Here is a 15,683-nt window from a genome sequence, read left to right on the forward strand (position 1 = left end):
CTCAGCTCCCCTTGAGGATGGTGGAAACTGTTCTAGAAGAGATTCTGGCTCCAACCAACAGTGAAGTGAGCAGTTGCTCACAGCAAAGAAGGAAGCACATAATCCACACAGGATAGCATCATTGTAGACTAGACACAAACTCCCTCTTTCCAAAAATAGCAGTGGGGAAAATGACCTTGAAAGGAAGAAGCTGACAACTGAGTTGCAGAGTTCAATTCAAGAAAAGAATCTCAGAGAACTCGGTGGGTTCTTGTGTTTACAGTTTATTTAATGGAAAAGAGATTGGCCTATTCTGGTTTTGATGCCTGCTTTGCCCCGGGATGAGAAGGCTTCCAACATGTCACTTAGAAGAAAAGACAAGGGTTTTCCCTGGTTTCTGACACCAGAGGGGCTTAGGCTTCTTCATCCACAGCAGAGTTTTCTGGGATTTCTTTTTTTAGAGAAAGAGGACTTGTTTGAGGGGTTACTGAGTTGACAGAGGAATGGTTTCCATAGATGGGAACAAAGCGGTTGTCAAAAGCTAGAGGAGTTTGTTCCGGGAGCTGGATGACGGGGCTGGAGGACAGCATCATCCTGTTTTCAGCTTCCATCTGAAGACCCAAGTTACCCATCCTGGGGTGAGTGCCCACCTCAGAAGTCAAATTCTCCCCTCTTAAAGGCATAGTCTGCCCTTCAGGGGTGACTGATATGTTTCTGGAGGGGACAGTCACCTTTTCACGGGCCACAGCCTTCCTTCTAGGGGCCACTGTATTCTGTCTAAGGGTCTCAGTCTGAAAATGGACAGGGGTCATAGTCGTTCCTCCAGGGCTCACAGACTGATGACTCACAGGGGTCACAGACTGATGACCCACAGGGGTCAGGGTCTTTTCCCCAGGGGTCACAGACTGATAACCCACAGAGGTCAGGGTCTTCTGTCCAGTGGTCACAGATTGATGACCCACAGGGGTCAGGGCCTTCTCTCCAGGGGTCATGGACTGATGACCCACAGAAGTCATGGTCATTGCCCCAGTGATCTCAGTCTTCTCTCCTAGAGCTACAGTGTGCTTTCCAAGGGATACAGTTTCCTTTGTAGGGGTCACAGTTGTACCTCTAGGGGTTATAGTCATATTTTCACACTTTCCGTGGATCTCAGTGACCCCAGCCTCTCCTCCTGGGGGCAAAATCTTACTATCAGTGGTCCATGCCGTGGTCACAGCCAGCCTTTCAGGGTCAGTGCTTGAAGAATTCACAGCAGATGACAGCCAAAATTGTGGTAAAGAAGTTGAACTGAACTCTAGAGAAAATCAACAGAAAAGAATGAGATTCCTACCACTTCATTCTCATCCTATTAATTACTGGCAGAACTAGAACCAATCCAGGGCTGAAGTACCTGCTCCAAAAATTCAGAAGTGTAAGATTTCATACTATACCTACTTGAGGACATAGATGAAATCCCACCACATAGAAGCCTTGCTCCAGACCCCGCCATGTTCACAGGTCCCAGACACCCACAGGCACTCAGTGGATTTGCTACATTTTCCATGAATGACCTCAGAAAGGAGCCCACCCATTCCTTGTGCTTAAGCCCTCACTTTGACATCTCTGATTGCATCATCAGCAAAACCTTGCCTCGAGGCCTAATTCTAAATAATTACTTGATGAATGCTCAAGGAGAAGCTTCTTATGTCTCTATGTTGTAGGAGGCACCAGGAACAAAGCCAGAGGCAAGGAGGCTAGGGACAGCATGCTGTGAACAATGGGACTGGGGCCCACCTAAAGACTTGACCTGACTGAGCTCCAGTCGCATTACCCATAAAATGAAGATTATAAACCATCCGTAAGGATGCTTCACCTCTTGCATGCTAGCTTCCATTTCCTAATTGCCAGGGTAGCCTCTACTATCAAAAAGAGATATCAAAAGAAACCTAATTCCCTCAGCCCTTGCCCATGAGAGTAAGAGAAAGAGAGAAATAAATAACATATATTGAGTGCTAACTATGAGAATTTTCATTCCATAGCTCACTTAGTTCTTATAATAATGTCATGAGTATACAGATTATTCCCATTTTAAATAGAACAAAGGAAGCTCAAAGAGGTCAAATAAGGGCCAAGTATCCCAACAAAGACTGGAAAACATATTGGCCTGGCAAAGCTTTTTCTCTCCCCTCAATGTCATGTTGCCTCACCAAGGCATTTAGATCTAGCAGAAGGGCCTTACCCAGTGCTTGGTTATGCAACTTCCAACCCCAGCTTCTAGGTCACAGCTACTTACCAGCCCGCACCAGGATATCATTCAATACGTAGACAAGGGGGAAAGGGCCAGTGCCACAGAACGTGCCCCTGACGTCATCCATGTCCAATGTCCACACCATGGCCCCCCCAAAATGCTCTCGCCTTATAAACCATGCCTGTAAAAGTAACAGTCAGTCAACCTGCTGTACTTGTCAGTCTCTAGACTGGGTACAATGGCAAAAAACTGAAGATAGTCCCTCAGGAAGCAATGTAGCTGGGTGGTTAGGAGTGTAGCCAGCATTTGAATCTAGCTTTTACTGTTTATTAGCTATGGGATCCTGAAGAAGTTATGTAACCCTTATGTGTCTTAACTGCCTCATTTGTGAAAAAAAAAAAAGAGGATAATAACATGTCCAACATGTTTAGACCCAAAAGATTCTTACATGCACATATTACATACGATATGGATGAAGCGTGAAGACACTATGCTAAGTGAAATAAGCCAGGCACAAAATAAGAAACACTGTATGACTCCATTTATGTGTGGTACCTAGAGTAGTCAAATTCACAGAAACAGAAAATAGAATGGTGGTTGCCAGGGGACGTGGGAAGGAGGAAGGGGAAGTTACTGTTTAATGGGCACAGGGTTTCCATTCGAGAAGATGAAAAAGTTCTGGAGATGGATGGTGGTGATAATTGCACAACAACATGAATGTATTTAATGCAACTGAATTTCAGACTTTAAAATGGTTAAAATGGTAAATCTTATGTTTTATGTTACATAGGAATGCTACATAAGTTTTCCTAAAGAGTTCCCATGCATAAGATATTTGGATCAATACCTGGCACATAGTGAATCTTCAATAAAAGTTAGCTACTAACCCTCTGGGTTCCCCACCTCATTAATCACCATTATTATCCTATTAAACTGTAGATATTGCTCTACTGTTTAAAATTCATTTCCTTATCTCACCGTGATGCTATAAAATACAGTAGAGCACAAAATATTATATGCTTCTCACAGATGAGAAAATAAAGGCTTTCATCCACACTTTTTAAAACCTCCACTACAACTAAATGGCAGAGCTTAGATTCAAGTCCAGGTTTTATTATTACCTTGCCAGTGCTCTCTGTCAAGTCTGATGGAAAAGACAGAATCTATCAGGTCCAAATAGCTGTGTGCCTTAGCCAAGTCAATTGGCTCCTTTCAGGAGTTGACTTTCCCCAAATGTAAAATAAGAGGAAGGAGGAATCCAATCATTAAGTCTGAAACTGTGAAGTTTCTGAGACTTTTATGCTACTTACAAGCTAAGAAATTAGTCTGCCAGTTTTGTGTGTATACACACACACACACACATGCACACACACACACATACTCACATACCCCAACACCCCAGACCTCTGGATCAGAGGACAGAATATTTATTACTCACAGAAAAAAAACAAAACAAAATAGCCAGAATAGCACCTTGAGTCAGTTTCCATGTCCCAAGGACAATGTGATGAAGGTCAGATGTTCAATTCACCTGCATATGCAGTGGGGTCTGCGCTACAGAGAAGAACTCTGAAATTATGAGACTCAGAGCTTATATAGAATGGTTGACATATGTGGCCCTCCTCCCTTCCAGAGAGAGGAGAGAACCTGGAATGTAAACAAGTCCTCCCTGGGAAGGGGACTTTCACAATCATTGAAGGTAAACAAATGGCTCTGGGGGAAAGAGGAAAGCAGCTCTCTATTTTTAGTAAAGCTTGTCTGCTTCCTTTGCCCAGAATCCTCAAACTGTGCAGGAACTCTGAGAAATCCAGGGTATAATTATCTCCCAACAATAATCCCCAAGGTCTCTTTTAGCTCTGATATTCTATGTCAAAATCCCTTAACCATCCCCAACCTGGCTTCATGTCTCCTCACCTAGTTCTGCAAGTTACAGTAACTGCACCTCAAAGCAAGACCACCCTCTGCTGCTCATCCCAGGGCCTCACCCAACACAAGGGATCAATCCCCTCTCTGATGTCCTATGGGTCATAGACTTAACTCCATCCAATTGGGTAAATCCATTGAGTCATTAATCTTTCCTGTTTGTGTCTTCCCATTCCCAAACCACAGAGCAAGATCCCAGAGGGGAGAAGCCATGCTTTTTTATCTCTCTCCGCCCCAGCAGGCCTCACCCAGTGTTAATGCACAGAGGAGCTACGCAGTGAATCTTCATGAGTGCCTTCCTCTCTGGTGCTTCCCACACAAACTTCCCCCAAAAAACAGCCGACACCTGCCATTTCTGCATCACCGTTAACAGGAGAACTGTGAATTCTCTCTATTTAAGTCTCAATATCCAAGCAGTTGCCACATTCCGACAATTTCTCACCTTTAAACTGCTGCTCCTTCCAACTACCCTAGTCCAGACCCTCATTATCTCATGCTTGGACACCTCTGTGTCCACGCCCAGAGCTCCCAAAATGCCAACTTAGCATTTGGAAGGATCATATATGGAGGCATTCTAAAATAGTTTCCAAAGTTTTTCTAAGACCTACTGAATATTGAGGAGTGGAACCATGATTTCTACATGTATCCAGTCTCTCAGGTGATTCCAAAACAGAGGCAGGTTTAGGAACTACTGGAGCATGTCAGTTCTCTTTTAGTTCACTATAAAAACCTGCCAGATTCAACTTCATAAAATACCACTTACATGAAGGGAGGGTGGTGGTCATAGTTTGGCTCTAAAAGTTTGAAAATTAAAGGTCATCCACCTGTAGAAACCTGTTTTTGCCTTAAAATGCCCACAGGATGAAGACTGAACACCTTTACCAGCATTCAAGTCCCTTTATAAAAAGCCTCTGCTTCACCCAAATTCTTCTTTGAACCTGCTATAAGCTTTCTACACCACTGAGCCTTTCCCCAATGTCATAATCTTCTCCTACTCCTGCTCACCTCCCTCAGGAAGCCCTCCCAGACTTCCTCATTTCTGCTACATGTCAGTAATATTTACAGAGCACTTACCATGATCTACTTTGTGTTGGTATTTATCTGTTATGAAATTAGCTGGTCCAAATGGAAAGGAAGAGACCAAAAAGATCATCGAAAAGCTGTAAGAACTGAGGGAACTATTTATTCCCTCAGAACCTAGATTCTTTCTCTTCAGAATAGAGACTTGGAACAGATGGGATTATAAAGCCCCAGTTAGAACTAAAATGTAGGCATGCCTGAAACCCCTGGTCTAATCATCCTCACCTTTCACTCTCCACCCAATACACATACATGCATTGTACAAATAAGGACCCCATAGAAACCGGTAGGAAACCATGTGCTGGAGCATGAAAGAGCCAGGGTCTCACCTTGTAACTGAAGCTGATGGCATTGTCATAGCCAACCCACTCTTTCCCCTTGTTGGCATACGGGACATACTGGTAATCAATCCAGTGCTTCTTCGCTCCCCAGACAAAGGAACAAATCTGCCAAGAGGACCACCAGGTTAGTTCTGGGAAGTGCCATGGAGATAAGCACCAAGAGACAGTTGTTCCTTGCCCAAGGATAAAGAATCCAAGAATCCCTAACCAGCGAATGAGAAGAAGGTAAACCAAAGAGAGAATGGAGAGGCCACTCACAAATGAGTTCCTCTCTATTTTGAATAAATTCCTACTGTTACCCTTTCCTCTCTCTACTGTCCATGATGGAAAAAAGGGAACCAAAGAGTGGATGACATCCTTAAGAAACCAAGCCAGGGGTATAATGCCAGTACCAAAATAGTAAGAGTAACATACATGATCCTTGACCAAATCTGTATCTCATTCAAAGTGTTTTCATAAACAAGTCTCTCCTGTTCATTAGATCCCAGCACAGACTGCCCCATATAGGTGGTTCTCAAACTAGCACCTGAACTTCTAGTAGATTTAAAGTTCTTGAAGGCAGGGAGAACTAGGTTGCTATAAATAATTAAGCATTTGAGTGTCCACTGAGTGCCCAGCATTGTGCTAAAAACTATATGCTGCAAAAAAGTAGAGGTACGCAAGCTGTGCTGCAGAAGTTAATGTCTAAGCCATTCCTTTTCTCCTTTGGTGCTTCAAAGGGTCTGTCTATCAAAGCTTCTTTGCCCTTCAAGAACATTGTTTCAACTATGCCAGCACTCATAAAAATGCTTCATTGGGTTAGAAAAACACCCTCATCCATCCAGCGCAGAGCAGAGATTGGAGAGACTTGCAGCACCTCCACTACTGCCTAAAGTACTCACCCTGTCCCTCTGTACCTGCTGTCCTCTACCTGGGAAGTCCTTCCCGTCTAGTCATTCCTGTCCATCAGGATTTTCCTGTGCTTCAAACTCTGCTCAAACTCTACCTGCTCCATAAGACCTTTCCAGGTCACTACAGCCACACAGTTATGTGGCTCGTATTGCCACCTCTGGTGGTTACATTCCCTTGGAAACATGTCTCTTTCCGCCACCCAATAGCAAGCTTGGTTGAGACGAAGATGAAGAGGGTAGAGCTGGAGTGGAGAGAAAGAACCTGTAGTAGATAATGTCTTGGAATTGCTTCAAAATCATCTAGTAGTAGGGAGGGAGGGAGCCAGCAGAGATGAGACAAAATTGGCCATGAATTATTAATGATTGAAGCTGAGTGAGTAGTATGTGGGGGAGGTACAGAGGCTATACTATTCTTTTAATTTTGCATATGTTTGAAATTATATATATTGCAAATATTAATGATTTTTATTTAGGCCATACAGAAAGTCAGGGTTTACCTGTATAGCATATAAGATCATTTTTGGGGTGCAATGAAACCCTTCCATCCAGATTCCACCAAGTCCTTCGTCCCTTACAAAGGACTCAAATAACTTACCTCAAAGAAAAAGAAAATATCCCAGAGAGTGGGTTTCTCTTGTACTAATAGACCACCTCTTTGCCCTGTCTACAGCTCTCACCCTTGCCATTGCCCCTTGTCCTGGCCTTTGCTCCAGCTGGGGGTGGGAGAGTCCTAACTGCTAGACAGAGACTGATATTCCCATCACCTCAAAATAAGCCAAGAAGCCTTCTTGCTTGGTGTACTTCCCTGGAGATGCTGGTCCGATCGCTCTGGCCTGCAACCCATTCTTAGAGGCTTTGAGGAGGCGAAAGGTACGTCCATAGGTGGGGATCCCCATGATGAGCTTCTCTGAGGGTGCCCCAAGCTTTCTCCAATAATTCATAGCATATGCCTGCAGGTAAGAAGAATCCAGACTCCTCCTTGTTACTAAGAGCCAATGGCCTGAGCTCAGGGGGGCAGATGTCTGGACCACCTGAGATCTTTCCTTTCCTTACCGAAGATTTGGGGTCTTCAGGCAGAGAGAAGAGGGGGCTATTATGTCCTGTGAACCTTTCCCAACTTCCATGTAAGTCATAAGACAAGACATTGATGAAATCCAGGAGTCTGTAAGGGGCAGGAGGAAGAGATATAAAGACTGGGCTAGCCAGATTTTCAAGTCAGAGCATCACAGCACTGTCTAGCTAACTAGCTAGACATTGGTCACCAGAGCTTCCCTGCTCCTTCTGCCTGTGGGGCCTGCCCAGGCTGTGCTATCCACCTGCCACTGGAACAAACAGCTGGTTAGGAACAGCTGTATATGAGGAGCTATGCATCCTGAGAGTACCTGTGGAGGTAGGCAGGAGTTAGATGAGAGAAAATACACTCAGGCCTGATATAAATGCTAACAGGCATCTGCACAAATGGTCATGAGTAAAAGCAGTCTGTTCCATAGCTTGTCTTTCTACAATTCCAGGAGCCATTGAAACCCACCTCCTCTAGAAAGCGTTCATCATTACCAGGTCACAGGGATAAGGGTTTACACTGATTATCTAATTTAATTTTAATCTGGCTAATTCCCTAAGTAGTGTAACTATCTCCATTTTAAAGTTGAAGAAATTGAAACTCAGATAGGTTAACTAATTTGCCTAATGTTGCCCAGTTGGGTGAAGGCAGGACTCTCTCAATCCTGTCTGGCTAAAAGATCAACACTAACACACTCCATGTCCCCTGTGTCTCTCACCCTCCTCCCACATTGAAACAATTCTCTAGCACACTCATACACAGGAACATCCCATTTCTGTTTTGGTCTGCATCTGCCTCAGTTTCCTCTTCTGTAAATACTTGATTCTCAAAATTCTAGAAAATATACCTAGAGATGACATGTCCAAAAAGATTTATGTGCTGCTCTTTGTCTAGCTTTTTAACTTTTGCATGAAGAACTGCTCTGAATACTGGATGTGACTGGGCATTCCTGTTTTTGTTTTTGTGACAGTGATTATTAATTCATCTGTCTCTGATGCCAGCATCCGCTGCATAGTGTATGTCTACAGATATACTCTGGGTAGAAAGAGGACAGGCCCCTGGGAATCTCTCCTCGTGAGACCCAGCAATAGGCTGTGCAGAAGACTCTACCCGTGCTAACATTGTTGTGGGCAGATATTACATCACCTCCCTCTGAGGTCTAAAGAAACCCTCAGGGTATAATGGAACTAGCCCTTCTCCCCACCCATGCTCCTCAGTCCAGCCCCAAACTTGCACTGACGTCAGGGCAGGCACACGGTGAGCTCAAAAACAGTGCTTGGGAAGCTCTGGGGTTCTGAGCTCAAGACACCTGCTTCCCACCAATGTCCTGCCCCACCAAAGCAATATCCACTCACCTTCCTAGAAAGCGCACATCATAGGATGTTTGGACGATGTGTGGGACCCCAGAAACAGCAGCAGACAGCAGCAGCCTCGGGCGCATGGTGAGCAGTGCCTCCTTCCGGAAGGCAAACAGGAGCTCCTAAGAGGAAAGACAGAAAGACACAGAGAACTGGACAAACAGAGAGGCGGGGCCTGGGGGGAGTGTCATCTAGGAAGCATTTACTGAGCTCCTGAGCCAGGCTCTGGGACACGAAGGTGAGTTGGACATGGGCCATGCCACAGGCTCATGAGACAGGCAGATGAGGGCTGATGTGGTTAATGATTTAATCAATTGAGGGGTGGCAAGCAGGCTCAGAAGCACAGAATTCAGACAGACACTGCCTAAGGGAGTGCAGGGAGCTGCAGAGAGAAGGCATCCCTTAGGCTGGAGGACTGGAGCAAGCCCCAGGTGCAGCGAAAAGAGCAACCTCAGGGAGTTACAGGTATTACCCTCCAGGGGTTCACAGTAAAAGAACATTCTGTCACCCTCTTCTGCCCCTGGCCCTGGACTTATGCTCTTCTCCTGCCATAAGCCTAGATATATAAAAGTAGAATCATTTCTGGATTCTGGCGCTTCTAGACCAGACTTACTTCAATTAAGAAGAGAAAAGTCCACCGGTCATGCATGGGGCTGCCTCTTAGTCCAGGATATAAGAAGAAAAGGTCAAGACCATCAAAGTCATGTGTCCTCAGAAGGGATATAACTGAAGCAATAAACTTTTCACGGTTGGCAAATGTGGACAACATAGTGGTGAATCTGTAGGGAGACCAGGGGTAAGGCAAAGAACTCTATCCACAGAATCACAACCTCCTACAAGGCCCCTTGCAAGCTTGGTTCCCTGTGGTGGGCCTGGCAGATGTGGCTGGAGGAAAGGAAGGCAGATTTCCAAAACTCTCCCACCTTCTTATATGCCTCTCCCAGCACCAGGAGCTCAATACCCAGGAGTAGGGAATTCAGGCAGCTAAAAGAAGTTGAAAACCATGTACTGCCCCAAGGCCAGACGGCACAGGGAACAGCAGGCACAGAACCAAGCATGCAGCCTGGGGTGTGGAGAAATGGCTCAGTCCAGCTCTGCCCCCAAAACATGGTATGCCCACTGGCAAGGCACTGCCCCTCTCTGTGCTGTCTCCTCATAGGTAACTACTCAATTCCCACAACCTGTCCTAGCACTGACATTTTCTACCTGACTGGATTAGGGGAGAGAACATGAGTCAAGGGCCAGCATGTCCAGAAACATCTATGAGTTAATCTGGGCCTGGGCTGTATAACTTGGCACAAGAGGCCTGTGTTCTGATAACGGGATCCTGATCCTGTGTTCTTTTGTTCGTTTTTTGTTTGATATTTTTCTATTTTACTTGTTTTCTCTTCCGTAGTGATGACACTTTGGAAAAATTCTAACTTATTGGACCTGAACTTTAAGCAACTCTGGGGTAATCCTGAGATGAGCCATGATTAAAAAATTAACCAGACTCATAAATAGATCTGGGTTCCATGGTCAGTTTCCCACCTCCTTGCTGGGCAATCTCTGAGGAATACCTGTGACAAATCTGGCAAGTTCCTTAATAACTGTGACTTGTGCTTTCTGCTCTACCAATTTTGAATACAACCACTTTGTAAAGCTTCCTGCAAGTGTTCACGGGATAATGCGTGTACAGCCCTAGCCCAGCATCTGGAGCACAGGGAGTGTTCAGAGATGGGAAGAGGTGAATCCTGGGCTGGGCAGAGCTAGTTCTCACCCCCCTGCCCTGAATCTTTCCTCCATCTTGTAAAGTGCATCCTCACACACTCCCAGCCCACCAGGCCTCCCTCTCGTGTATCTCATGCCTTTAAGGCAACAAGGCAAGTACGGCCTCTAACCCAGGCCTCAGCCATGAAATAGGGGAAATGTTTCTTCAGAAAATATGAAGGCAGTTTGTAATCTCCACGTTGTCTCATGGAGATTGAAGTGCTAACAAGAGCAGCTGCTACATACTGAACATGTACTATGTCCCAGCACTAAGCTTAGCATTTTGTTATTTCCTTTCCTCTGTTCCAACCCTTTGAGGTTGATATCCCTGGATCCACTAATAAAGTGAAGAAACCTGTGAGGTTTGGGAGTTATTCTCATCCTGCACCTGATTCCTCCCCTTGGAGACAAAACCCTTGCCTCTTATGAAAGGTTGAGGAAACAATTATGAGTGCCTCATTTTGTCCCTAATTTTCCCCCAGCCTCTTTCTCACCACCTGCTAGAACTTCCTTGTCTCCCCTGACCCACCATGGAGAAGAGGCCAGGATATCCCTTGAGTGCAGGGGTCTAAGATTCATGAGTTGGGGAAGTATTTGCGCTAGCTTTGCTGTCCGCATGGCCAAGCTGCCTTCCCCCTCTGTCTTCACGTCTAACCAGCCTGCTCCACCCTCCCAGGGAGAAGAGAATAACAGCAAAGTCTCACCTTGAGGTGCCAAAGTTCCACCCGCCGATGGACAGTAGTGTTTTCAGCTCTCTGTTCCTATGATGTGAGAGAGAGGGTTGATGAGCTGGGTTCTTCACTCCGGTGGGCAGCTGCTGCCACATTCTTTTATTTTGCTCATTGGAAGAAAACAGGAAACAGGAGAGATGGGAGGTAAGGAAAGGAAAAGGGGGAAGGTGATAGAAGGAGAGAGATGATGAGCACAGGAGAGAGGAGGAAAGACAGAGAGAACAATCAACCCAAGGGCCATCACAGCCCAACAACTCCAAGGCTGCACAAAGTCTGCCAAACTCGCGCATGTCCCTATGATGCTTCCAAAAAAAGAGCAGTCTAAAATGTTTCTCTTTTTCCTATTCAACAAATATTTATTGAGCAATGTCTATGTGCCATTTACTGCTTTAGGCACTTTAGAACAAAGAACAACACAGATAAGCTCCCCACTTTCAGGGAGTTTATAATCTAGTGGCATAGAACTTTTACTCTGCCCATCTATAACCATTAATGCAGTAACAAGCCTTCCTTTGGGCACAGAGAGATCCCAGGAGTTCCGGAGAGAGGAAAATGTAAGCAAACACTTACTGAGCACCAACCCTGTGTGAGACACTGACCTAGCCACTGGGGATACAACAACACAGCAGACACTGCCCCTTCCCTGGAGTAGCTCACCGGTAACAAACGGTAATAAAAACATGAGCATTTGTTGAGCATTTGGGATGTGTAAGCCCACTTTAACAGCATTAATAACTAAAATCCTCACAACTAGGTTCAAAGGCTGAGTTGGGTTTTGCCAGGCAGAGAAGAGAGAGAAGCACATTCCAGGCAGAGACAACAGCAACTACAAAAGTAAGGAGGCAGGAAAGAGCTCAAGGTGTCTGTGACAAGGAGTTCTCAAGTTGGGGGTGCTCTGGACCCCTATTTGAGAGGAAGGTAGGACTGGAAGAAATAGAAGAAAGTTGAAGAGTAACAGGAGAAATAGACTGTTATCTTATACCTGTGAAATCTGAAAATACAACCCCCACATCCAATATGAACACACCTCTCCTTTAGTTTGTTGAACTCTGGGTAGAGAATTTTCTCATCCTGGAGATCCTTAGCAACAATCTGATTGTTGTTCATTGAGGCAAAGGCAAATATCAGGTGGGTGCAGAGAAAGGGGTCCAGGTCATGGGGCAAGATCGAGGCAGGGCCTGGCCGACTGTGTGCCCAGTTGGTGAAATAACACACGAGTTTATGGGCAGCACCTGGTAAGGGAGAGCACACATTAGTTGGCAAAAACCAAGGGAGGGGATGGAGCTCAGCTTCCAGAAAGCAATGTGAACGCAGCCCAAGAGACCAGGCCACATTTTCACATCCTCTCTCCCTGGCCCTGAAGTACACCTCAGAACTACACTGAGGTTCTATTCCTCCCCCACTGCTGAGGTCTCAGGAAGAAAACAATGCCTTGTGAAATCCTGGTCAGAACAGATTCTCAAGTCTGGACCAAGGCACACAGTCAGCGACACAAACAGCAGGTGACCAAAAATCCTCTGAGAAACTGTGTTGGATCAATAATCCCTGTCAGAGAAGCCAGGGCAAGGTGGGCTGCAGGGGACACTCAATGTGGAGGACTTCTCAGCCAGAGACTCTCCCTGGCTCTGGAAGGGAAAACACAGTTTCCTTACCATCGTGGTGTTTCAGCACAAGAACCAGCCCTGTGAGAAACAAAGGAAGGAGTCACACAGAGATTCATACCCTCACCAGAGTGGTATGGCACAGCACACCCTCTGATTAGCAAGGGTGCCCACCAACACACCACCTTATGCAGATGCAGACACACAAATGGGGACACACACACCATTTACTCGTTTCCTAGTTTCTAAAGTTGGACCAGTGGAGCTAGATATAAGTTCCTTTTCTTTTTGATAAACATGTGTATATGCTCATGCTTTGCCCAGGGACAATGACAAGTGTTAGAAGTCCCAGAAAAAGCTCGAGGCCAGTGGTTCTGAACCCTGGCTGCAAATTAAGAAGTACTGATATCCTGGCTGGTCATGCAGAGATTCTAACAGAACTGGTCCAAGGTGGAACTCAGGCATTTAAAATTTCTAATGGGCCACCAGGTTTGAGAACCACTGCTCTGACCACTTCTCCCTGGGTCCCTCTGACCTCTGACCATTAACTATGGCCCATCCCATCTCTACCTAATCTAGGCTTCCCTGAGTCTCAGGCTGCTCTCTCAGGCACCAGAGAGATGACGAACTCATAAAGCCTGGCACTTCCTGGACTGAGTGACACTGCTGGGACCTGCCACACTCACCAACCCACAGCAACAGCTTCCACATCTCAATGGTCTGATAGCTGTGAGTCCAGAGATGCAGCCCTTTATAGGAGCTTCCCTGTGGATAGCGCTGGGACAGCCCAGCTACACATACACACACACACACACACACACACACACACACACACACACACACACACACACCCCAGTGCCAGGATCAGTAATTTATGAGAGTCACAGTGACCCCAGAACGACCTGGCCTCCCTCTCCAACAAAGCAACAGCACCAGGTTGGCACTGAATACCAGGAAGAGGGTCTTCCTGGTATTCAGTACCACAGGGACTGAATATGGGGGAGAAACCCCATATGGTAGCAGCAATTCTATTATTAAAAGATTATTGGCTGGGAAGCAGCGTAATTTTTAAAAAAAGTTTAAACCATAGCTTTGGATTTAGGCTTTGAATCCAAGGTTTGAATTCAAAGTTTGAATCTCAGTGTCACCACTTAGAAGTTTTGTAATCTTGCACAAATTACCTGCCTCTGTGAGGTCAGTTTCCATGCTTGTAAAATGGAGATGACAGCTCAGACTTACCTCATAGAGCTTTATAGAGATCAAAGAGATAATGGGTCAAAAATTGTTAGTTTCGTGCTCGCATATAATAAGGGCTCAGTGAATGGTAGCTATTATTAGGGATGTCAAAAGGGTTGCCCAGCAGAGCAGAGTTCTCAAACTCAGATGACGCTTGCCAGGCAGGTAATGTAAATGGATGGTGTAGATGCAATAAAACAGCTATCTCTATTTTATTAGAAAAGTAACAGTTCATGCCCAATGATGTACATCAACTGACATGAAGCCTCTTGGTCAGGAGACAACAGAGATCAGTATAAAGAGGGACAGCACTCTGAGCAGCTGCTAATGGTTTCCCTGCAGGGAAACAGACCCAGTGTTGCTGGATCCTTCAGTTTCTCAGGAGAAGGCAAAACCTGAATTTTTATGAGTCAACAATATTTGAGTCAGTATATGAGCCAATTGTGAGGATGTGTCATGAACCTCAAGAATATGATGGATACAATTCTGGACATCTAAGAGCCAGTTTTTTAAAAATGCAACAACAGGAGTATGAAAGATAAAATATATATATATATATATATATATATATATATATATATATATATACCGTTTTTATTACCAGACTGCAAGCCAGATGCTTTTATGATTCATCAGTTTTCTTTCTCTGCTACAGAGGGTCTTGGACCTTATGCCCACCTTCACAGAGACTGATGCTGCTCATCTAATCCACATGAACTACTCACGAGGTATTAACCAGATGTCAATATAATCCACGACACAGGGAAATAATGACTAGTGGTCAAATTCATATAACATCTATCCTTCATTTCCAGTATGAAGAAACCAGGAGTCATTGTTTTAAATCAGCAGTTTGCTTGGATATGATGGAATAAAAGCAACAAATTGTATAGAATGTTTGGAGTATTTCACTGAAACTCTGGGAAAGCCTGATGGAATACCCCACCCAACCCAGACTATGTCTCCTTTTCTTCATCCATCTTTGCCTTTCTTTATGTATTCAACAAATTATCACTGAGCATGTGCCATGCCCTGCTCGGCACTTGAAACATTTTCTGCTTTCAAGGAGCTTATGATTTAGTGAACAGATTGATCGTATCCCTAGAGCTAGGGTATGTGTCTCTTTCTTGGAGAAGTAGCATGATGAGTGCAGTGAGGAAAACATGAGTTTTGTTGCCAAAATGATTTCAGATTCAATTCCCACTCTGTACCATCACTGAGGCAACTTGGGTCCCACTTGCATGCTCAATGCCACCATCCATTCCTTGGACTAATATTAACCTGAATTAGGAGATAATTAGGCCTCCTGAGACCAACACTGGATCATGCTTGGCAACAACTTGTACCATTGGTTAGACTACCCCTGGTACGTTTTCTGGCTACAACAACCATGCTCTTGTTCCCCCATTCCTAGCCCTTGTGCCCTCATTCTTGTAACTGGGTCTGGTCCCTGCTTTGACTTCTCTTCCTGTTCTACAAACTGCTGGCACCACAGTTGGGTCCTAGGG

The 15,683-nt window shown here is 45.1% G+C and overlaps 1 protein-coding gene and 1 long non-coding RNA gene across 2 annotated transcripts, besides 1 other annotated feature; one reads left to right on the top strand and one right to left on the bottom strand.

The window, feature by feature from the left end:
- OVGP1 (oviductal glycoprotein 1) lies at positions 248 to 13,664 on the bottom strand. The gene is made up of 11 exons (NM_002557.4): positions 13,626 to 13,664; positions 12,991 to 13,020; positions 12,366 to 12,570; positions 11,312 to 11,368; positions 9,472 to 9,637; positions 8,856 to 8,980; positions 7,494 to 7,602; positions 7,205 to 7,390; positions 5,539 to 5,655; positions 2,252 to 2,387; positions 248 to 1,273 (listed from the first exon to the last, which is right to left on the bottom strand). The coding sequence occupies exons 1-11, from the start codon at positions 13,648 to 13,650 to the stop codon at positions 393 to 395; spliced, it is 2,037 nt and encodes a 678-aa protein (NP_002548.3). The 5' UTR covers positions 13,651 to 13,664; the 3' UTR covers positions 248 to 392.
- Positions 741 to 5,657, top strand: LOC124904309 (uncharacterized). The gene is made up of 2 exons (XR_007066387.1): positions 741 to 831; positions 901 to 5,657. It is a non-coding gene; the product is annotated as an uncharacterized LOC124904309 (long non-coding RNA).
- Positions 1,416 to 1,917: an enhancer, noted in NCBI's record as "NANOG hESC enhancer chr1:111958109-111958610 (GRCh37/hg19 assembly coordinates)". NCBI's record gives its function as "activates a minimal SCP1, AML or CMV promoter by ChIP-STARR-seq in naive and primed H9 embryonic stem cells {active_cell/tissue: H9 hESC(naive and primed)}" and the evidence as "EXISTENCE:reporter gene assay evidence [ECO:0000049][PMID:30033119]".

The sequence above is a fragment of the Homo sapiens genome, chromosome 1, assembly GCF_000001405.40.
Source record: "Homo sapiens chromosome 1, GRCh38.p14 Primary Assembly".
Taxonomy (NCBI): domain Eukaryota; kingdom Metazoa; phylum Chordata; class Mammalia; order Primates; family Hominidae; genus Homo; species Homo sapiens.

What these genes read in the sequence shown, in the direction of transcription:
- OVGP1 (NM_002557.4), bottom strand. Translation starts at nt 13,650, where the DNA reads ATGTGGAAGCTGTTGCTGTGGGTTG. An exon ending in TGTGCTGAAACACCACGATG is followed by an intron (nt 12,571 to 12,990) that starts GTAAGGAAACTG and finishes CTCCCTTACCAG; the next exon opens with GTGCTGCCCATAAACTCGTG. An exon ending in GCTTCTTGGCTTATTTTGAG is followed by an intron (nt 5,656 to 7,204) that starts GTGATGGGAATA and finishes TCCTCTTGGCAG; the next exon opens with ATTTGTTCCTTTGTCTGGGG.